The sequence below is a fragment of the Homo sapiens genome, chromosome 3 (genome assembly GCF_000001405.40).
Source record: "Homo sapiens chromosome 3, GRCh38.p14 Primary Assembly".
NCBI classification, from domain to species: domain Eukaryota; kingdom Metazoa; phylum Chordata; class Mammalia; order Primates; family Hominidae; genus Homo; species Homo sapiens.
In genome coordinates this window covers 168,362,703-168,388,033 of record NC_000003.12, presented here as the reverse complement: position 1 = coordinate 168,388,033, position 25,331 = coordinate 168,362,703, and the positions used below count along the sequence as shown (strand labels likewise).

Below are 25,331 nucleotides of genomic sequence, written 5' to 3'. Positions count from 1 at the left end.
AATAAACATACATGTGCATGTGTCTTTATAGTAGCATGATTTATAATCCTTTGGGTATATACCCAATAATGGGATTGCTGGGTCAAACAGTATTTCTAGTTCTAGATCCTTCCATAATGGTTGAACTAATTTACACTCCCACCAACAGTAATTAAAATGCATTTACCTACTAAGAGTTATTTATAATAGTGTTATTTATTGTATGAATAATACTGATAGTTTTAAATTTTGATAGATAAAACTGTTAGACCAAACTGCACCATTTTGTAAGCTCCCTGCTATTTTTTATACCTTGGTCAAAGTGAAATATTTCACAGGGGTTCGAGTCATGAGAAAGATCCTGCCTAACCACCTGACCACAAGGTGGACAAAGGCCGAACTAAAGAAACATCCCTATCATATCTTGCTGGACAAAGGCTTGGAGCACCAGGATGGCATCCCCCTGGAACAAGGGCCAGAACCGCCTCATCATGGGAACATCTTATCAATATCCTGCCGGGCAGCCCATACCAATAAGTACCCCCAGCCTGTAACCAACTGTGGGCTCTGGCATTAGGCTGGTGCTCCACTTCTGTAGGTTTTATGCTGAGCATAAAGCCTGCATTTGCTGTTAAGCCGCCCTCTTTCTGTGTGTTGGTGTGTGTGTGTGTGTGTGTGTCTTTAACACTCACCTTCCCTTCAAAACCTAACAAAAATCAAATAAAAAGGGATTATTTTGAGCTTGAAACATTACTAAGGTTTCACTAGTGAGAGGTAATACCTTAAACAGTTAACAGCTTAAACTCAGTTTTGCCAACTGAAAAAATAACAAGATTAGAGATCATCATCAAATCTGCTCCTACTAAACTCGAAAACTGTATACTTCTGAGAAGGGCAGAAATAGAGAGAGGGGTAGAAAATGTTGACAAGGGACAAAATAAAGCGCATGAGTATCTGAAGAAAAAGAAGAGGTGGTGGGAAGTGGGAAAGGTGCCTAGAGAAGAAAGCAGCAGAGCACCCTGGCTACACAATTATATCTTCTGCCTTCATGAATTATTAAAAATCATCTCCATGCTGCTTCTGCCATAGTCACAGGTTGTCAACACCACTGTTAGAACACTAGTTATAATTTGGAAGTTGGCATATATCACCTTTCAGGACCGTTTAATCTCCCTGTTATATCCAAATCCATACTTCATTGCTGAGTGTCTTTCTCTTCAGTATAATGTACATCATCTTTTTGGTCAGAGAAGAAAAACGAAAGGATTTGAAAAAAAATAAAAGAACCTATAAACCTATAAGTTTGTATAGAGAAAAAGAGGGTCTGACAGATTGATTAGTTGAATTTCTGTAAATATATTCTAGCTTTCTTTGTCACTATTTACAAGTACAATGTAATATTTTTGAAAATTCTCATAAAAATAATCCTTGTTTCTTCCTTCTGATATGGTCTTAGATTATCAAGGATTGATATTTTTTAAAGTGGTATATCACAGTTTGTATATCTACTGAAAACCATTGTTATATACCTACTGAATCAATGAAAAATACCAACTCATCATATTTTACAATGTTCCTTCCATCTAGAAAAACAAATTCATTTTAGAATTTAGAACAAGGAAAACATCTATCTTTCTTACAAATGTGAATGTTTATTTTCATTAGATAATGAACATAATCCACCATGTTTAATGCTTTTCCTTTGCTGCTGGAAGCTCAGAACAAGCATAATACTTAATAGAGGAAAATACATAGAATTCATGCCTCCTCACCTGCTCCTCTTCTAGACATCATTAATCACACATGACAAGCTTTCCTAGCTGAACCTACTTGGACTCAAGATCTTTCTCAACATGATATTCCAGGTATCCGCAACCAGTTGAGCAGGTATCCACAACCAATGGAGAATTTACATATGACATGAGATGGCGTTAACTATCCTAGATGATAGCTATATCTGCTACCCATCCTGCAAAAAATTTATTGAATTTTTCCTATGTGTATTTGATAAACATATTGACATGTGTCTTTTAGTGTAAGTATAATCAAATTATTTTTGGAAATTAAGGGATCTCACAGCTCTCATGACTACAAGAAGGTTTGAGTATACTTGGAAATGTACATAAAGCAGTCCCTGAGGATAATTAGTATTTTATAAAAAGCTAACTGATAGAAAATGCAAATACAATGAAGTCTAAGCTTTCTATGTAAGTAGTAAAATTAAAATTTTTGACAGGTAAAACTGAAAATTATGAAAATAATTACCCTTTAACACACACACACACACATACATACACATGTATATTAGTTATAATTGCAGCTGTGCAATTACAGTTTTTGAAGCAAAAAAGATTGGATCAAATAAGCATGTCAGGCATAAGAGGCAGTATAATTTTTTTCTAATAAAGCTGATTGTTAAAACTATACAGCTTAATTCCCAGCTATACAAATAGGATAGAATAGGATCTAAGAAGTGGTGCCAGTACACAAACTAGTTTCCCTGGTCTACAACAAGATATGTACATAAACAAAAGTAGGTGGTTTAGAAACTTTTACAGCAATTGCTATATCTACAGAAATTTACAAAAATATCAGTCTAGGAGGGCAGCACAAGATGGCAAAATAGAAGCCTATACCATTCGTTCCCCCATCCCCCACAGGAAGACCAAATTTTAACAACTATCTGCACACAGAAAAGCACCATCACAGGACCCAAAAATAAGTGAGCTATCACAATACCTGGTTTTACTTCACGTCGTGGAAAGAGGCATTTAAGAAGGTAGGAGAGACAGGCTTGAATCGCAGACGCCACCCCTCTCCCACCTCCCAGCAGCAGCCCTGTAGCACAGAGAGAGTCTGTGCTCTTGGGGAAGGGAGAGCGCACTGAATGGGGGACTTACATTGAACTCAGTGCTGCTGTTTCACGCAGACAGCAAAACCATGCTGGGCTCAGCCAGGGCCTGAACAAGGAGGGAACATTCGAACACACCCTAGCCAGAAGAAAGTTGCCCTTCCCAGGCATATGAACTTGAGTTTCTTGGTAAGCCTTGCCAACATGGGCCAAAGCATTCTGGGGTCATAGGTAAGCTCAAAAGGCAGTCTAGGACACAAATACTATATAGTACTATATAGAATTATAATTCCTAGGCAACTCCTAGTGCTGGGCTGGGCTTAGAACCAGTGGACTAGGGTAGCACATGACCTAGGAAGACTCCAGCCAGGGTGGCCAAGGGAGTGCTTGTGCCACCTCTCCTTCAACCCCAGGCAGTGCAGCTGGAAGCTACAAAAGTGACTCCTTCCTTCTGCTTAATGAGAGGAGAATGAAGAATAAAGATGACTTTGTCTTGCATCTTGGGTACCAGCTCAGCCATAGGAGGATAGGGCACTGGGCAGAGTCATGAGGCCTCCAATCCAGGCCCCAGCTTACAGATGACATTTCTAGAAACACTATGGGACAGAAGGGAACCCACTGCCTTGAAGGGAAGGACCCAGTCCTGGTGAGATTCATCACCTGCTGACTAAGGAGCCCTTGGGCTCTGAATAACCGGTGGCAATACCAAGGTAATATACTATGGGCCTTGGGCTCTGAGATGTGCTGGCTTTAGATGCCATGCAGTACATTCCCAGCTGTGGTGGCTATAGTGAAGTAAAAGGGACTTTGTCTTACACCTTATGTACCAGCTTGGCCATAGTGAGGTAGAGCAACAAGCAGGCTTTTGGAGTCCCCAAGTCCAGACCTAGGCTCTTGGAACAATTTCTGGATGAGCCCAGGCCAGAGGGGAGCCCAGTGCCCTGAAGGACGAGTTCCAGGTCTGGAAGCAATCACTACAGGCTGACTGAAGAGCCCTTGGACTTTAAGTGAACATCAGCAGTGGCCTGGCAGAACCCCCTGTGGGCTGTGGTGATAGTGGCCACAGGGAGAGGCTCTCTGCCTATTGAAAGGTAAAGGAACAGCAGGAAAATCTTTGTATTGTGGTATGAGTACCAGGTTAGCCACAGTAGAATAGAACATAAGCTAAATTTCTAAGGTTTTTGACTCTAATCTCTAGCTCCCAGATAGTATCTATGGACCTTCCTGGGCCATAGGAGAACTCACTGTCCTGAAAGGAAGGACATAAACCTGGCTGGCTTTGCTACCTGCTGATCATAGGACCTTAGTCACATCAAAGAGCAAAATCATGCTGGGCTCAGCCAGCGCCTGGGAAGGGAGGGTGCATGTGGATCCACCCTAGGGTACTGATTGAACATAGGTGGTAGCCAGGCAGTGGTTACAGTAGGCCTTGCGTGACAGCCAGTGCTGTGCTGGCTTCAGGTCTGACCAAACACAGTCCAAATGGTGGTGGCCATATGGTGCTTGCATGACCACACCCCTAGTTCCAGATGGCTTAGCCAGAGAAATTCCAAATGTATGGGAGGAATTAAAGGAAAAGAATAATAGTCTCTGCCTGGTAATCCAGAGAATTCTTCTGAATCTTATCCAAGACCACCAAGGTGATACTTCTATGAGTCTACAAAAACCACAGTATTATTGGGCTTAGGGCCCAAGTCTCTTCAAATACCTGGAAAGCCATACCAAGAAGGACAGATGAAAATAAGCCCAGACTGCAAACACTATAATAAATATCTTCAATGTTCAGACACCAAAGAACATCTATAAGCATCAAGAACATCCAGGAAAACATGGCTTCACCAAATGAGCTAAAGAAGGCACCAGGGACCAATCCTGGAGAAACAGAGATATGTGACCTTTCAGACAGAGAACTCAAAATAGCTATTTGAAAAAACTCAAAGAAATTCAAAATCACACAGAGAAGGAATTCAGAATTGTATCAGATAAAATTAACAAAGAGATTGAAACAATTAAAAAGAATTAAGAAGGAATGCTAGAGTTGAAAAATGGAACTGACATGCTGAAGAATACATCAGAGACTCTTAATAGCAGAATTGATAAAGCAGAAGAACTAATGAGCATGAAGACCAGCTATTTGAAAGTACAGTCAGAGGAGACAAAAAAGAAAAAAAGAATTAAAAACACATCAATATGGCACATGTATACATATGTAACAAACCTGCACATTGTGCACATGTAGCCTAGAACTTAAATAACAAAAAAAACAAAAAGTCACACCTGCATGATCTAGAAAATAGCCTCAAATAACCAAATCTAAGAGTTATTTGATACAACAAGGAGGTAGAGAAAGATATGGGGTAGAAAGTTTATTAAAAGGGGTAATAATGGAGAACTTCCCAAACCTAGGGAAAGATATCAATATCAAAGTAGAAGAAGGTTATAGAACACCAGGCAGATTTAACCCAAAGAAGACTACCTCAAGACATTTAATAATGAAAGTCCCAAAGGTTAAGCATAAAGAAAAGATCCTAAAAGCAGTGAGAGAAAAGAAACAAATAACGTAAAATGGAGTGCCAATACATGTGACAGGAGACTTTTCAGTGGAAACCTTAAGACCAGGAAAGAGTGGCGTGACATATTTAAACTGTTGCAGGAAAATAACTTTTACTGTATATAGTATATCCAGAGAAAATAACCTTTAATAATGAAGGAGAAATAAAGACCTTCCCAGACAAACAAAAGCTGAGGGATTTCATCAATACAAGACCTATCCTACAAGAAATGCTAAAGAAAGTTCTTCATTCTGTAATAAAAGGATGTTAATCAACAAGAAGAAATCATCTGAACGTACAAAACTCATTGGTAATAGTAAACATACAGAAAAACACAGATTATTATCACACTGTAATTATGGTATGTAAACCACTCTTAAGTAGAAAGACTAGATGATGAACCAATAAAAAAAAATAACTACAACAATTTTTCAAGACGTAGTGCAATAAGACAGAAACAGAAACAACAAAAAGTTAAAAAGTAGGGAAAAAAGTTAAAGTGTAGCATTTTATTAGTTTTTCTTTTGTGTGTTTATGTGATCAGTGTTAAGTGGTCATCAGTTTAAAATCATAGGTTACAGGACAGTATTTGCAAGCCTAATGGTAACCTCAAATCAAAAACGATGCAATAGACAAGCAAAAAATTAAAGAAATTATATCATACAACCAGAGAAAATCACCTTCACTAAAAGTAAGACAGGGAAAGAAGAAAGAGAAGACCACAAAAAAAAAAAAAAAAAAAAGAAAACAAATAACAAAATGGCAAGGCAAGGTAACTCCCTACTTATCAATAATAACATTGAAGGTAAATGGGCTAAACTCTCCAATCAAAAGCTGTAGAATGGCTGAATGAAGAAACAAGATCCAATGATCCGTTGTCTACAAGAAATACACTTTACCTCTAAAGATACACACAGGTTAAAAATTAAAGAAATGAAAAAAGATATTCCATGACAATGCAATCCAAAAAGGACAAAAATAGCTATACTTATATCAGACAAAATAGATTTCAAGACAACTGTGAGACAAAGAAGGTCATTATATAATAATAAAGGGGTCAATTAAGCAGGAGGATATAATAATTTTAAATATATATGCACCCAACAATGGGGCACACAGATATATAAAGCAAATATTATTAGCACTAAAGAGAGAGATAGACCTCGATACAATAACAGCTGGAGACTCCAACACTCCACTTTCAGCATTGGACAGATCTTCTAGACAGAAAATCAACGAAGAAACAGTAGACTTAATCTGCAGTATAGAACAAATGGTTCTAACAGATATTAATAGAATGTGTCATGCAACCACTACAGAAGTCACATTCTTCTCCTCAGCATATCGATCATGCTCAAGGACAGACTGTATGTTAGGTCACAAAATAAGTCTTAAAACATTCAAAAAAACTGAAGTAATGTCAAACATCTTCTCTGACCATAATGGAATAAAACTAGAAATCAATAATGAGGAATTTTGCAAACCATGCAAATACATGGAAATTAAACAATATGCTCCAGAATGACTAGTGGATCAAGGAAGAAATTAAGAAAATTGAAAAAGTTATTGAAATAAATGGTAACAGAAGTATCAAAAACCAAAACCTATGGGATACAGTGAAAGAAGTAGTAAAAGGGAAATTTATAGCTATTAGTGCCCACATCAAAAAAGAAGAAAACATTCAAATAGATAACCTAAAAATGCATCTTAAAGAATTAAAAATAACAAAAGCAAGCTGAACTCACAATTTGTAAAAGAAAAGAAATAATAAAAATTAGAGCAGAAATAAACGTATTTGAAATGAATAACACAATATAAAAGATCAATGAAACAAAAAGTTGGTGTTTTGAAAAGATCAAAATTGGCCGGGCACGGTGGCTCATGCCTCTAAATCCCAGCACTTTGGGAGGCCGAGGCAGGTGGATCACCTGAGGTCAGGAGTTCAAGACCAGCCTGGCCAACATGGTGAAACCCCATCTCTACTAAAAATACAAAAATTAGCCAGGCGTGCCAGTGGGCACCTGTAATCCCAACTACTCGGGAGGCTGAAGCAGGAGAATCGCTTGAACCAGGGAGGCAGAGATTGCAGTGAGCTGAGACCATGCCATCGCACTCCAGCCTGGGCAACAGAGAAAGACTCCATCTCCAAAAACAAAAAAAAAAAAAAAAAAGAAAGATCAAGATTGACAAACTATTAGTCAGACTAAGAAAAACAATGGAAAAGACCCACATAAATAAAATCAGAGATGAAAAAGAAGACATTACAACTGATACTGCAGAAATTCAAAGTATCATTAGTGGCTACTATGGCAACTATATGCCAATAAATTGGAAAATCTCCAGGAAATGGATAAATTCCTAGAGACATACAACCTATCAAGATTGAACCATGAAGAAATCCAAAACCTGAACAGACCAGTAACGAGATTGAAGTCATAATAAAAAGTCTTCTAGTAATGAAAAGCCCAAGACCTGATGGCTTCACTGCTGAACTCTGCCAAACATTTAAAGAATACCAATCCCACTCAAACTGTTCTGAAAAACAAAGCAGGAAAGAATGCTTCCAAACTAATTCTATGAGGCCACTCTTACCTTGGTACCAAAACCAGATAAAGATACAGCAAAAAAAAAGAAAACTACAAGCCAAAATTTCTGATGAATAGTAATGCAAAAATCCTCAACAAAATACTAGAAACCAAATTCATCAAAACATTAGAAAAATCATTTATCATGACCAAGTGGGACTTACCCCAGGGACATAAGGATGATTGAACATATGCAATTCAATCAATGTGATACATCATATCAACAGAATGAAGGACAAAAACCATATGATCATTTCAATTGATGCTGAAAGCAGTTGATAAAATTCAACATCCTTCATGATAAAAGCCCTCAAAAATAAAAAACTGGGTATAGGAGAAACATACCTCAACATAATAAAAGTCATATATGAAAGACCCACAGCTATTATCACACTGAATGAGGAAAAATTGAAAGTCTTTCCTTCAAGAACTGGAATATGAAAAGAATGCTCACTTTTGACAACTGTTAGTCAACATATTACTGGAAGTTCTAACTAAAGCAATCAGACAAGAGAAGGAAATAAGAACATCTAAGTTGTAAAGGAAGAAGTTAAATGATCCCTGTTTGCAGATATAATCTTACATTTGGAAAAAATCTAAAAATCCCGCAAAAAAACCATTGGAACTGATAAAAAATTCAGCAAAGTTGCAGGATACAAAATCAATATACAAAAATTAGTAAAATTTCTATATGCCAACAGTGAACAATGTAAAAAGGAAATAAAAAAGTAATTCAATTTACAGTAGCCACAAATAAAATTAAATACCTAGGAATTAAGTTAAGCAAAAAAGTGAAGGATCTCTACAATGAAAACCGTGAAAGGCTGATGAAAGAAGTTGAAGAGTTCACCAAAAATTGGAAAGATATTCTATATTTATGGATCAGAAGAATCAATACTGTTAAAATATCCATACTACCCAAAGCAATCTACAGATCCAATGCAATTTCTATGAAAATACCAATAACATTCTTCACAAGAGAAATAGAAAAAACAATCCTAAGACTAATATGGAATCACAAAAGACCCAGAATGGCCAAAGCAAAAAGAACATGACTGAAGGAATCACATTACCTGACCTCAAATTATACTACAGAGATATAGTAACCCCAAACAGCATGGTATTGGCATAAAAACAGACAAATGGACAAATGGAACAGAATAGAGAACCCAGAAACGAATCCACACACCTACAGTTAACTCATTTTTGACAAAGGTGCCAAGAACATACATTGGGAATAAGACAGCCTTTTTAATAAATGCTGGGAAAACTGGATATCCATAAGGAGAAGAACAAAATTACACTGATATCTCTCACAATATACAAAAATCAAATTAAAATGATTTAAAGACATAAATCCAAGACCTCAAGTTATGAAACTACTACAAGAAAACATTGGAAAACTCTCCAGGACATTGGTCTGGCCAAACATTTTTTGAGAAATATCCTACAAGCACAGGCAACCAAATCGGAAATGAGTAAATGGGATCACATCAAATTCAAAAGCCTCTGCACAGTCCAAAAAACCATCAACAAAGTGAAGACACAATCCACAGAATGGAAGAAAATATGTGCAAACTACCCCTCTGACAAGGGATCAATAACCAGAATATGTAAGGAGCTCAAACATCTCAACAGGAAAAAATCTAAAAATTTGATTTAAAAATGGGCATAAGATTTGAATAGACATTTCTCAAAAGAAGACATACAAGTTACAAAGAGGCCTATGAAAAGGTTCTCAACATCATTGATCTTCAGAGAAGTACAAATCAAAACTCCAATGAGATATCATCTCACCCCAGTTAAAATGGCTTTTATCCAAAAGACAAGCAATAAAAAATACTGGCAAGGATGTGGAGAAAAGGGAACCCTCATACACTGTTGGTGAGAATGTAAATTAGTACAACCATTATGAAGAACAGTTTGGAGGTTCCTCAAAAAACTAAAAATAGAGCTACCATATGCTCCAGCAATCCCACTGCTGGGTATATATCCAAAAGAAAGAAAATCAGTATATCAAAGAGGTATCTGCACACCCATGTTTGTTTTAGCACTGTTCACAGTAACCAAAATTTGGAAGCAACCTAAGTGTCCATCAACATATGAATGGAAAAAGAAAATGTGATGCTTATACACAATGGAGTACTATTCAGCCATTAAAAAGGAATCAGATCCTGTCATTTGTGTCAACATGGATGCAACTGGATATCACTATGTTAAGTGAAATAAGCCAGGCACAGAAAGACAAACACGTTCTCACTTATTTGTGGGATCTAAAAATCAAAACAATTGAACTCATGGACATAAAGAGTAGAAGGATGGTTACCAGAGGCTGGGAAGAGTAGTGGGGGACTGGTGGGGGAAGGTGGGGATGGCTAAAGGGTGAAAAATAGTTAAAATGAATAAGACCTAGTATTTGATAGCACAAAGAGTGACTATAGTCAATAATTATTTAATTGTATATTTTAAAAGAACAAAAAAAGAGTATAATTGGATTGTTTGTAACACAAAGGATAAATGCATGAAGGAATGGAGATCCCATTTTCCATGATGTGATTACTATGTATTGCATGCCTGTATCATAATATCTGATGTACCCCATAAATACATACATCTACTATGTAACCACAAAAAAAATTATAAATTTTTGAAATATGTATAAAATGGTTTAAGTAAAACACAAAGAACAACAACAAAAAAAAAACCCTGGTCTTTTACCACTAAATTTTTGAGAAACACTGACATTCCTTTAGATGTGCAAAGGAAGAACAAAAGTCATATATTTGCGAAACATTTAAAGAATTCCCTCACTTTGTGAAAATTATCAAAATTTTTTCTTGTCTAAGATGTCTTATTTACAATACAGCGATCATAATGGCACCTACCTAATATGATTGCTATCACTACGGAATAAAATAATCTAGGCCTGTGGTCACCTGGACACAGGGCAACCAAGAAGAAACACTACATTTCCCTGCCATCCTTGAAATTAGATATGGCCAAGTGACTAAGTACTCAACAATGGCATATGAGCAAAAGTGATATGTGTAACTTCCAGTTTTGACCCTTACAGGGAAGAAAACTAAGACTCCGAGAAGTGCATGCAAGAGAGTGATAGTTCTTGAATTGTACCAATGAGTCAAACACTAGGAAAGCAAAGCAACAGCATGGAAGGAGCCTAGGCCTCAGAACTGTGCGGAGCCAAGCCATTCTATCAGTTTACACTTTAAAAATAAAAAATAAACTTCTAGCTTATCTAAACTCCTATTATTGTGATCCTTTGCCACACTCAGCCAAACCAATATTCCAACTGAGACTGCATAGAAAGCACTTGGAACAATACTCAGCATAGGGTATGCATTAAATAATTGATAACTATTATTATGTATTATTATTGATTTGGCATTCAAAACTTTCACTTTAAAAGCATTATCTTTGATAATCCATGATGGTTTTCTTCTTCAAATGATAACTAGTATAACTCTGTTAGACCACTGTTTATTAATAATTTTGAGAAAGGCTCAAATGGTTCTCCAGGACCACTTTTTTGAACTTTATAAAATCCCATTTCTTTTATGTGATTACTACTTTCATTCAGAAATAATTTGCATTTTACTAATCAATATATCCACATCTAACATGCTGATTAGAAAAGCATGTTATACTGATATACGAACAGAAAGGGAGTTGACACAATGGGGTAGAATCAGAACAGATATCTGACTGAAGATATGTTTGAGTGGGGATACATTTTATAAGTAGTAGGTTCATTAATGGATAGTTCATATAACCACAGTTCTTTACTAATTGATAAACTTCTATAAAAATACTATCCTTCTAATCAATTATTTGGTTCTTAGACATAGTTTGAGAAAAACAGGATAAATTTTTTATTCTATTCATCAGTTTTCAAAATTCTATTTAACAACAACACGTTCAAACAAGCTGAAGACATTCTTGTATCTCTGGCTTCTAAATTCACCTACAATTCTCATAACATAAAACTTGTTTTAATAAGAATTTTTTTAATCTGGCAGCAATTAACCATCAGAGCAGATATGATATTTTTAGAACTGATAGGGACACATGTCTTTCTTGAGCAAGTCTTTATTTTTTTGGTAAAAAAAGAATACAGACAGGTTCTCAACTCAAATTAAAAAAAAAAAAAATTCCCACCATAGTGACTCCTTACAATTCCTGATCATTTTCTCGATGTTGAAAGAGTCTAATATATTCTTATAGTTCTGATGACATCTGTTTGACAGTAGCAGTTCCCCTCCGTGAGGAATTACCTCAGTCTATTTCAAAAATGCCTTTATGAGTGGTGGTATTTGAGCCTGGTGGCAACAACCTAACGGTCATTATACTCCTGTAAAAATGTTAGCTAGATCATATCATTTCTCAGTTCACAGTCCTCCAATGACTTCCTATGCCACTCAAGGGAGAAGCAAAAATTTTTAGAGAGGCCTTAAAGGCCCCCACAATGACCCCACCTCTTCACCCCCATCCCTTCTGCTCTATAGATACTAGCCTGTGCTGTTACTAAGTCAACCACAGACACTCCTGCTTCTGAGCCTTCGCATTGGTTGTTCCCTCCTTCTAGAACACTGTCTCACTCCAAGCCACATGGATTATTCCCTTCCTTCTTTGGGTGTCTTGTCACATTTTACCATCTCAGCGATACCTTTTCTGACCATCATCATTCAAATGGCAAACTTTCACTCACTCTCACCTGTATTCCTCTTGCCCAGGCCTACTTTATTTTTCTTCATAATGCTTATAACCAACTCGTACTAGCAATCTTACTGGTGTATCATTTATTTTTGGTCTCTCCATACTTGGATATGTGCTATTATAGAGCCAGGAATTTGCATGTTTTGTCACTTGCTGTATCCCCAGCACCTAGATCAACACTTGACACGAAGATGGTTTATCAGGCTGTTTGACTGAATGCATGAATAACTTGTTCCCACTCCTCAAGAGACTAGCAGCAGCACTACTTCAGCAACCCTGTTTGGTTTCTGAATTAAAATAATTAGATATATGACATGATGCCACATAATTAACTCAAAAACAAGACACCATGGGAAATGTGAAGGACTAAATATACAGATAGAAAACAGGTAGTCCAACTCTAATGTCTGCTTATCTGTTTTTGACTTCAGTTTTACACAGAATTTTCCAAACAGAAGTTTATTTAATCTTTCTTAGCACCTAGATTGTGACAGGAAAATACATACAAAATGGCCCCAAAGAAACAACAAACAAAATCCTATCTAAATAAAGAGTACTTTAGGAAGATTAATTACTGTTAAAAACAAATTAGAATAACTCATCATGTTTCTGACCCTCCTGCTTTTGGTAACCTCAAATATTCAAAACAAAGTCTGAGTTGAAAGCCCCAAAAAATGTGTCAGCTGTGAGCTTAGAGAAAACTGCTTAGTAAGGAACAGACATTTTTCTCTTTAAATGTGTTCCTCAAAGTGATTTCTGTAGAATCATGAGATATTAATAGATGACAACAAAGAAAGGGTTCTGGTGTCAAGTGTTAGTTTAAATAAGGTTTGTTACATTAAAACTTCTGAAAGTCTTGAATATATCTTGTAAGAGTATAAATTTGCCACAGGAGAAGTGCCATAGGCAGCATTTCCCAATCTGTTTTTGACAGTAAGCATTACCACCACCACCCACCATTTTTCCCAGAGCAACTATGGCCAATATACATTAGGAAACCAACGACTCTCAAACTTGAGCCCATAGACTAAGAATTGCAGGTGAAATTCAATAACTGATTTAGTAAACTTTGGTTGGTTGGGTTTCTCTTTTCTCCTGGAAACCTTCAGTTCTTGGAGTGCAACAGCTGCATAGACACAAAGGAAGAAAAAGGGAAAGCTATATAAAGAAACGTAATAGCTGTTGACAAGACAACAGAATGCCCAGCAAGGACAGCAAAATTACCTTGTTTACTTTCTTTAAGGGCAAGGTAAATCCAATGCAATGCACTTCAAAGGTTCCTTACAACATCATGGCATGATAACAAAGCAGAAATTGTTTATAACATAGATAAAAGTTGCATTACATTTAGAATATGTTGTGTAAAATGGTATATTAGTTTCCTAGGGTTTCCACAACAAAAGTGCTGCAAACTGGGAGGCTTAAGACAGCAGAAATTTATTCTCTCACAGTTCTGGTAGCTAGAAGTCCAAAACCAAGGCATCAGCAGGGTTGGTTCCTTCCGGAGCCTCTGAGAGAAAACCTTTTCCATGCCTCTATCCTAGCTTCTGATGATTGCTAGCAATCTTAGGCATTCCTTGGCCTGTATATACATCACTCCAATCTGTCCCTTTCTTCACATGTCACTCTCCTCTGTCTGTGTCTGTATCCAAATTTCCCTGTTCCTACTGATCACTGAATTAGTACTCACTCTAATAAGGTATGACCTCATTTTAATTTGAATACATCTGCAAACACCTCATTTCCAAATAAGTCACAGGTTCTGGGTAGACATGAAGTTTGTGGAAACACTATTCAACTCAGTACAGAGGTAAAATGTAAGCCATATGTTTTAAAACTATTTCCACAAAATGATTATCCATTGTAAAGTATTTTTTTTTAGATAAAGAAGGAATAATGTAATAGCAAGTAAATGCATTTTTTTTTTTTTGACAGACTCTCACTCTGCTGCCAGGCTGGAATGCGGTGGCATGATCTCGGCTCACTGCAACCTCTGTCTTCCAGGTTCAAGTGATTCTCCTGCCTCAGCCTCCAATTAGCTGGGATTACTGTGCCCGCCACCACAGCCAGCTAATTTTTGTTTTTTTAATAGAGACAGGGTTTCACCATGTTGGCCAGGCTGGTCTCGAACTCCTGACCTCAGGTGATCCACCCACCTCAGTCTACCAAACTGCTGGGATTACAGGAGCAAGCCACCACACCCGGCCAGACAGCTTATTTTTTTAAAGTGTTTTAGTAAAAAAAGGTATTCTGTGACAATGTGAAAAATTATCCCTGAAATTGTTTTAGATGTTATGATTCCCTATAAAATATTCCCAAAGTAGACACATGTGTGTTAGTAAACACTCAGCAAAAGACAGATAAAAGAAAAGCTAATCTTGAAACTAAAACATTGTTCTATCTCCGTGGACACTCCTTTGAAAAACACTGCATTTTATATTCTATGCAACCTCAGAGAGTGGCACCCATATACAATAAAATAAAATCTGATTTCATCCTACCCACAGTAACACAGAAAATGAATGTGTCATAATCTTCACTAGCTCCACCAAGATTTTATTAAGTGATTTTACTCCTGATGTTCTCACATCTCTTCATTTATCTTTCTCTTAAGTTATGATTAATTCTACTACTAAATGAAGGGTCAAAAAGTATAGGAAGACTTAAATGCTGAGTTAATCCATATACCCATTTGCTTTAGCAAAGGACAAAGTTGAGTGGTAGGTGCTTTTAATGATTCTCATGAGGCTACTATGATGGCCTTTCAGACTCAATCATTTGCCTCAATGCACACCAAAACACTCCTCATTTCTCAGAGAATCTTTAAAAAATTAAGTGAAATCCCCTGGAAGGGAACTCAATCAAAATGAAGTATCTGTAATTGGTAATAAAAGAAGGATCACCATATCATGAGCCAGAGAACTAACCTCATTTGAATTAGACTTTGACTCCTTATTAAGATGGAATTTTGAGTGCAAGTATAAACACTCATTCCCTCCCCTTCAGATCCAAAGCAATGAAACATGCACACATATACACATACAGACAGATATTTATATATTTATGTATATTATGTATAATATTGAAAAAGACAACTGAACTCAGAAACAAGATCAACATTCTATAACAGAAATGCAAAACAGCAGTATAACTTACTAGGCTCTTGGACTGGAAATAAGAAATTTCAAAATGGGGTGAGGGAGGAGAATAACAGGAACTCAAAGTGCTCCGTCTGTGTCAAGAGATAGGGGCTAGACTCAGGATGTAAAACCAGAGGTTGGGTTTAGTTTCCCTGATTTATGAGAGGAGCCTCGACAAAAAATAGTAACTATTACCCAGGGCTGAGACTATGTCAAGCTGCAGTCAGGGCAGCAATTGGAGCCAAGATTACTTCTCGTTCTGGGTCCTGTTATTCTCTGAGTTAGCCACAAGACTTGTAAAATATCAGTACCCCTGCCAGACTGGAGACCCAAAATGCCAGTGCATGGCCTAGTTCTGAATAGAGAGGAGCTGGATGCAGGTAATGGTAAAACTAGTAGGCAATATATAGAACCTCCAGGAGAAAAGAAATACAAAACAAACAAGAGCAACAAGAACCACAACTAAAAATCTGTTACTCAAAAGGAATTAGCAAACAAAAATTTAATCTCATATGAGGAAAATGCCACAAAATACAGCTCACATTCTAAACAATTGAGAGAGTTCATTTTGGGGAAATGCAAATAATAAAAATCTGAAAACAATGTACAAATAACTGTATAAAATACTTGTAGAAATAAATAGAAATAACATAATTCAAGTATAAAAGACTGTAAATTATTATTATAAACTGAGAATGTGGTTATGATGGAGTTATAAATGCTAGAAAGAAAATTACCATAACTAAAATTAAAACTGGAAAAGAGACTAATCCTGAGCTGAACACAGCTAAAGAAAAAATTACTGAACTGAAAGATTATACCAGAGAAACAAGTAAATGACAACTATGTAAGAGAATTTTAGGTAACATGCGGATTAGCTTGAGAGGCTTTCTATTTTACTCAGGATAAGAGAGTCAACATTGCAGTAGCAAATATTCCCAAATATCAGTATCTTCATAGAAGTTTACCATTCATTCAGGCCCTCTGTCGTAATTGCTAAAGCAGAAGAAAAGAGAGACTAGAGAGTTGCGCAGGGGCTTTTCCTTGCTTCAACTTGGCAATAACACACATCACTTCTCTCACATTTTATTGTCCATAATTAGTTACATAGCTCTGCTTAACTGCAAGGGCCTAAGAGGTATAGTCACACATATGTCCTTGAAGGAATAACTATTCCAATATTGGTGAGCACTACTAATGTCTCTCTGCTCCCACACATCACTAACAGGAGTTCCAGAAGTAGCAAGTTGAGAGAATGGTGAAAAACCAATATTTTTAAAAAGAATCATAATGATGCCTAAGAATTTTTAAGAACTGAAATAAAATGTGGCCGGGCACGGTGGTTCACGCCTGTAATCCCAGCACTTTGGGAGGCTGAAGCGTGCAGATTTTGAGGTCAGGAGTTCAAGACCAGCCTGGCCAACATGGTGAAACAACATCTCTACTAAAAATACAAAAATTAGCTGGGCATGGTGGCACACGCCTGTAACCCCACCTACTCAGGAGGCTGAGGTAGGAGAATCGCTTGAACCTGGGAGGCAGAGTTTGCAGTGAGCCAAGATCACCCTACTGCACTCCAGCCTTGGGGACAGAGCAAGACTCTGTCTCAAAAAAAAAAAAAAGAAAAAGAAAAAGAAAAAGAAAAAGAAAAATGTATTCTCAGACAGAAAGCAAAAGCTGGAAGAAAGCCAGATAAATTAAAAGTAAATTCATATTTAAATGCATTACAATAAAACTAGAATGCATTAAGGATAAAGAGAAAACTTTAAAAGCCTCCTAAGACAAAAGATAAATTATCTATTGGCAACTGATGCTTAAACTGGCAGCATATATCTCATCAACTACAACAGCAGCCAGAATATTCAAAAATGCTGAGAAGTAGTAACTAACAGTCTAAAATTTTCTGCCCCCAGCTAAACTAAGTTTCATCAGTGATGATAAGACAAAGAACCCTCCATACATGCAACTAAGGAGTGTTCACTGGCAATAGATACTCCCTGCAAGAATTACTAAAGGACATTCTTCAGGAAGAAAAAAAAAAAAACCATGGAAAGAAGAAGTAAAAAAAAAAACACGGAAAGAAGAAATGAAATGTATAAAACAGTGACAAAAGTAATTATAAAATCTACTGGTAATTCTTTTTTTTTTTTTTTTTTTTTTTGAGATGGAGTCTCGCTCTGTCGCCCAGGCTGGAGTGCAATGGCAGTATCTCAGCTCACTGCAACCTCCTCCTGGGTTGAAGTGATTCTCCTCCCTCAGCCTCCTGAGTAGCTGTGATTACAGGCACGTGCCATCATGCCCAGATAATTTTTTTTGTATTTTTTAGTAGAGATAGGGTTTCACCATGTTGGTCAGGCTGGTGTTGAACTCCTGACCTTGTGATCCGCCCACCTCGGCCTCCCAAAGTACTGGGATTATAGGCATGAGCCACCATGCCCGGCCAAAATCTACTGGTAATTCTTACTAGACACTGAGTGTAAAAAAACTAATTCACAGCACTTTAAAAATATATGTAGAAGAAAAATTGCAGACATTAGTAAGATAGTAAGAGAAGAGCAGTGAGGCTGGATGTTGTTCTGGAGGAAGATAGAAATGTTAAAGAAGTTTAGACTTTTCCAGAACCAAATATGAAATTAAGTATGCATATTGAGTTAAAGGCTTTCACGTAATATCCCCCAAATCCTATTTTTAAGTCTCTATAACAACGACGACAAAGCAAAAACAAATGGGGTCACTGTAATAGTTTCCTTTTGGTTTAAGCAATATCAAGTGTGTACAGACTGGTTTGGCTGATTGATAATAAGTGTTCAATTCTAGGTGCTGAAAAATGAAAAATAAGTACGACTGTACTCTCAGCAACGATCCTTGCAAAGTTAATATTACTAGGTGGTCTATAGAGTAATGAAAATAGTACACTGTGAGTTCAAAGGAAGGAGACAGCATTCAGTCATGGAAATCAAATAATGTAGGTGGTATCTGATTGAGAATGGAAGGGTAATGAAGACATATGTCAGAAGGCAGGGTGAAGGAAAAAGTCATTTCACAAGAAAAAAGGTGTTAGTCAAGGCAGTGCATTAGGCAGACAAAGGTAGGGCAGAGGAAGCAGTCTTTTCCAGGCACAGGCAATTAAGGAGTGCACTGCCTGCAGATAATCCAAAACCATTCATAAGGCTGATAATATGTTCATTAGCTTTTTATGATCACCACATACCCACCAAATTTCAATGACAAAACATCCTAAAAATATTTTACTGGTCTAATGTCTAAACAACTATATAGTTATTATTGAGTTTAATACTACACATGAGTTCCAAATTGGCAATTATGCACCCTTTCATAAACATGGTATTCTGCATGGAAGTTTGGAGAACAACCAACATACAATTAACTTCCACTTATTTCTAATAGATAAGACCTAATCTCTAATAGATAAGAACTAAACTACACATACTCATTACAAGTGTAATTTTTTTTTTTTAAGACAATGTCTCCCTCTGTTTCCCAGGCTAGAGTGCCATGGTACAATCTCAGCTCACTGCAACCTCTGTTTCTCGGGTTCAAGCAATTCCCTTGCCTCAGCCTCCTGAGTACCTGGGATTACAGGTGTGCACCACCATGCCTGGCTAATTTTTTTGTATTTTTAGAAGAGACAGGGTTTCGCCATGTTGGCCAGCCTGGTCTCAAACTCCTGACCACAAGTGATCCACCCACCTCAGCCTCCCAAAGTGCTGGGACCACAGGCGTAAGCCACCATGCCCAGCCAACAAGTGTAATTTTTATAATAGTTCAGAGTCATCTGAGTTTGCTTTGGCTGCAATTTGTGTCTCTAACACATGTAGTACTATCTGTTTCAAAATAAGCAATAGTAGTGCAGTCTTTGTAAAGAAGAATCAGAACTTAAATTACCTTAATTCTGTCATCCTATGAGCCTACTTGGAATTTTATTTGTATTTAAATCAATGAAACAGTACAAATTCTAAGGTGTAACATTTTCATTTGCTTACTATTAATTTTATTGCATTTGTAGAACAATTTATAATATTTGAATTAAACCTTAAAATTAAAATGTACTCTAATTTCATTGTTGTTTTGAACCTAAAGAACAAATCAAAAAGTAATAATATTACTGATATTACCCTATTACTAAAAAGTAATCTTGTTATATAGAAGAGAGGATATTTAAAAAAATCTGCTCTATCAAATATGCTAGGTGCACAAGCTAGAAATATAGGAAGTCATAGCTGTGTGTAATACAGCAAGTCACATTTACTTCAAAAGCTTCAAAAAGCCAAAGCTTTACAATTCAAACTTGGATTTCATAATGTATCTATATAAAATAAAAAATAATCTGAATAAGTGAAAAGTACCGCATTTACTCTTGCTGTAATTTTAATACATTTCCCCTATCTTCCCAAAATAGTGAGTAAATAGAGTTATAATGAAAATTTTTTATGAGATTCCTCAGGATTCCTCTGTGATGGTAATCAAATAGAAAGTTATATAAAGGCAGCACTACTGGGCCTCCTTAGGAAACAATGACCACTGGAGTGCCCTTCAATCTTCCCTCCACCTTTTCTTTTCCTGTTTCTACCACTTCACCCTAATTGAAGCCCACATTACACTATTGTCATAACTCACTACCTGGTTTCTTTTCTTCTATCTCTTTACTTATTGTACCCACCCACAATATTGGTGTTTTCTCACACACACAAGAGTCTCTCCTTCTAGAGCCTACAGAACCAGGCCTCCATGATGTGCTCACAAAATAATTTTATTGCCAGCCAAACTATGATGGCTCTGAAATCTGTTTTTCACCCACAGTAAATGCCTGACCATAGACCAGAAGAGACATGCTTTCTCCTGCATTTAGAGTTTTGGCTCTCACAGCTCATTCAAACCACAGTGCCCTTCCCTTACTTTCTTGTGTTTAAATCTGACTTGTTCCTGAAGCACCTAATCATGCATTTCTTTATAAAGCCTTCCTAGTTTATCTAGCAATAATTAATTTTCCTCCCCTTCATTCCCACGGTCTGTTACCTACTGGGTAAATGTGTTTGTGCTAATTGGCCTCTGAGCCTCAGATTCCTAATCTGTAAAATGGACGTAACAATGATACTGATCTCAGAATCACGAGGGTAAAATGAGATGACGCAGTGCTTTTCAAACTATACAACATTAATGTTTCACTTCTTTAACTTGCAATTCTGATTTGCACAAAAGTTAATGCCTGTCTTCCCCAAGGTATAGACCCATCTACCTTATATCCCTTTTTCCCTAGCACTTACTCCTTCACCAGGACTTGTGTATGGCCAATGGGAAGAAATCAGTTTTCTAATGAGAAATAAAATGTGGTTCATTACACTCTCAGGTTCTTAAAATCTAATTATGCAATATAGCCCTAATAAATTTAAAATCACTGTTCTTAAATTCATGGAATTTTATCTTACCATCTTCCATTTTTTTTCTCTCAACCAAAAGTTTTAGAAGTACAAAGGCCAATACTAGGAAGCAGCTTCCTAAAATAAGAAAAAATATATGAGGCTGCCAAATCAAAATATCCCCAACTTTACCCATTGGGATTGTCTATGAAAGACTATTAATCTTTTTTGGCCTTTCCAAACTTTAGTTTTAAACAACTATTGCTGCTTTATATTTGATTCCCTCTTGAGCTATATAAAACCCCAGTACAGACTGAGGATAAAGTTTATAATAACAATCATTGATTATCATGGAAACGGAAACTTCAATCTAAGAAGAAAACTGCTCATCCTCAAAATGAAAATTCAGTCCAGAGTCTGAAATTAATTTGTCTCAATGTGCAACTGTGATGGTTAGTGGAAGCACGTGGCACAGTGCGAAAGCTTCTCCTCCTTGCTGAAGTTAAACAAACAAATGTTCAAATTTACACACAATTCCTAACTTGAGACGTGGCCTTGAGCAAGCTGCTTAATTTCTCTAAATCCCAAATCCCAATTCCTCTTTAACAAACAGAACAAAAAACAACACCTCTAAGATGGTGTAATCACTAAGGAAAGTAACGTAATTCAAACACTTAGAACCATGTCTAACACAGATGTGTTCCATAAATAATTATCATTATCATTAATAATTCTGAATTATGTTGAAAAATAATTTTTATAGTGGTTTTGTGTTTTCTAAAGTAACTGTTATTTTACTTTACAAGTTAATTCTTCTTTTACTTTTTCAATTGAAGAATGATATTCAAACAAAGTATACAAACTATCAACGTGCAGTGGGATCAATTTCCACAGTATAAATGTGTCAGGTAACCTTTAGCTAGAGCAAGAAAGAGAATGTTACTCACGTAGCGGAAGCCCCTACTTTGCCCCACTTTCAAGTACTATCCCAAGGGTAATCACTACCCTATTGTTTTAGAACACACACTAGTTTTGCCTGTTTTTGAACTTTATGTGAGTAAAATCATACTGTATGTACTTTTTTGTGTCTGGCTTCTTTTATTCAACATTTTGTTTCTGAGATTCATTCATATTGTGTGTAAATTAATAACTTTTAATGTGATGTTTTCAATTATATACTCATAAAACTAAAATATGTTAAATAATATTTCTCTGAAAATATAGTTATTAATTCTGTATTACTTAGCCTTACCTAGCTGGGTAATATGCAACAAACATGTCCATCAAATGTTAGGTTTGTACTAGCATTCTTTGACTTTCACATAAAATAAATTTAAAAAAAATAATTTGTGGTACCATTTCTTGCTGCTTCTAATATTCAGTACCCTGTATACTGGGACCATCTAAAGGAAGATGGGAAGTCATGAAACAGAAGAACATGGCAAAGAACTCCATATGAACAGTAATTACTGTTCAAGTACATCTGAACTGTCATGAGCAATAAGACCTTTGGGTTTTGTTCTGCCAGGCATAACAAGTACCTCCAATGTCACCAGTTTCCAAATTTGACTCTGACATGGGACAGAGGAGACTGGTGACAGATGGGCAAAATTTAGCATGTGGCTTGGACAGTCTTCGGGATGGAAGTCTTGTTATCTGTAACTGGCTGCCAAGTCCTGCATGTTACTTTGTAACAGACACCACTGGGAAACTTTGTAGCTTCAGCCAAAAACACAGACTTAAGAGAACCAGATTTCTTCACTGTTAGTATTTGTAACATTTCACCCACATTGGGCTCCTCTGCAATAATGAAATAGTCACCAGTATGAATCTGAATGAGAAAAAAAGCATTTTGACACAACAGACTGATTTTTTTTTTTTACTTAGGATAGTAGCTTATTAGACATGAAATTGGCCATTTCTAAATCAACTCTTCTTTGGTTTAGTGAGGTATTTCAAATTAATTGGCCTTTAGGCCAAATCTTGCTCCAAACATCTTATAATAATCAGTTTTAAAGAACAATAAGAACCCTTAAGGTTGGATGTGTAAAATATGTTCTCTAATTGTTATTTATCAATGTATCTAACCTAAATTTAAACAGAAAGCAATTTTTTATAAATGGTGGGTTACTACAGAGTCACATATAATAATTAATAATTAATAATCCGTGAATAAATTAACCTTACTGCTGCAGCTCTGGGGCCCTTCCATTCAGTTCAGAGCAAGTAGATATGCTGCAAAATGTTTCCTGATTGCTTAATACAAACACAGACATTTTAAGATTAGCATTTTGGATTATTTATCCTCTACCTTCTACCAGTTTGTCTATATAAGAGTTGTTTACTGTAGTCCCAGCTACTCGGGAGGCTGAGGCAGGAGAATGGCGTGAACCCGGAAGGCGGAGCTTGCAGTGAGCGGAGATCGCGCCACAGCACTCCCGCCTGGGCGACAGAACGAGACTCCGTCTCAGAAAAAAAAAAAAAAAAAAAGAGTTGTTTACATAGTTAGAAATGTTTCCTAAATACTGGTTGAGAAAATACTTTTAGAAAACATAATAAATGGACTAGCAAAATGTTTTACATAGTAATTTTATTAATACTTACAATAATGCTAGAATAGATTTTCATTTTATGATAAAGCCTTTTATGGATTTAATAACTGACTTTCCACTACTTTAGAGAACAGTTGATCCACTTAAGACAATCTACTCATTAGCTCATCCTTCAGTCATACTCTTCCTAACTTTCAAATATTCTCCTCCCTCCAAATTCTACTTATTTTGTCACATGTTCAGCTGAAAATAGCAACAGTATTATTACAATGCTTTAAACAAATAATGAAAGTTCAGAGGTAGGCAGTTGAACTCACAGATTCAACTACTAAATGAAGACAACAGGGATACCGGCACTTTCTATGTTTGTGCCCTGCTTTTCTAGCTATGTGAACCAGTTATGGCCAGTGACATCTAAAAGGACGTCAGTCATGATGGGCTTTGTTTTTAACCCAAGGAAAAATGTGATACCTAAAAGGCGTGGCAGCCATTTTGCAACCATGATTTTAAAATGCCTTAAATAACTAAGAGTTTATTTACCTCCCATAGCCGGAAGTATGAGGGATTTGTACTCATTAATTCAACTTCTAAATGAAACAACAAACAGATGAAAGCAAAGATGACCAGATTGGCTAAGCCGACAATGTGTGTTCATGTTTACCAAGAATGTAAAGGCTTTTCCAAGAACTACCATAGCCCTTGGACCTTAGACCTCATTGGTCAGAATGGGAACTCATGGCTGAGAAAGTAAGGAACAGGAAGGTCATAAAAGTCTTACATTGTCTTCAGCTAAACAATGGAAGAAAACAGATAACGGGTAAGCACCTAACATGTTTGTCACTGTTCCTTTAAAACCATGCTTCCCATAATAACAATGTTCAAGCAAAGATTATGTAAACCCAACTAACCTATAACATAGTATCAGCCCTCTTTTGATACCAATATTTGGTGTATATTTCAAATACATGTCAGTTAAGCATTTCATAAATATTTTGTGTTTATTATGCCAGGATTGGCACACTAATGCACTAACACCAGAATAGCTCATTATACATTGCATCAGTATTTTATAGATAGCTTACATTTCACAGGGCCCTAGAATTACCGCCACCATCTCAGTTTCTCTCTGAATCCCTAGGGCCAACTCATATGGAGAATGAATCTTTAAAATCTCTTGAGCTTGCTGCATTCTTGTGCCACACCCTGAAGGCAATTCAAAAGGTCCCTGAAGTTAACTCGCAGTTCAGCAGTTCAGCAGCAACCAGCCAGTGAAAGCTGTCATGTGAGACTGGTAGCCCTCAGCATCCTCTGGAGATGGCTGGATTGACATGAATCCACTACCTGCTAGAATAATCTAATTATGCCTAAAGGTTTTCACTGAAAAGGCTTTACTCCAGGTCCCTGTCACTCTCCCTGTGGGTGAAGTCAGCTATCCAATGACTTTCAAACACTCTCTGCATGTGGCTTTGTAACACATGAAGAAGTTCCTGAAATGTCAATCCTAAGGGACAAGTGTTCGTGTCACTAAAGCAATACATCATAACCTCTGCACTTTCTGGA

At 36.6% G+C, this 25,331-nt stretch overlaps 1 pseudogene across 1 annotated transcript in view, besides 1 other annotated feature; it reads right to left on the bottom strand.

Annotated features, from left to right (window-relative positions):
- EGFEM1P (EGF like and EMI domain containing 1, pseudogene) overlaps positions 1 to 25,331 on the bottom strand; it is a 581,078-nt pseudogene that overhangs the window by 442,566 nt on the left and 113,181 nt on the right. The gene's annotated exons all lie outside the window — the stretch shown is intronic.
- Positions 2,442 to 2,941: an enhancer, noted in NCBI's record as "H3K27ac hESC enhancer chr3:168102881-168103380 (GRCh37/hg19 assembly coordinates)". NCBI's record gives its function as "activates a minimal SCP1, AML or CMV promoter by ChIP-STARR-seq in primed H9 embryonic stem cells {active_cell/tissue: H9 hESC(primed)}" and the evidence as "EXISTENCE:reporter gene assay evidence [ECO:0000049][PMID:30033119]".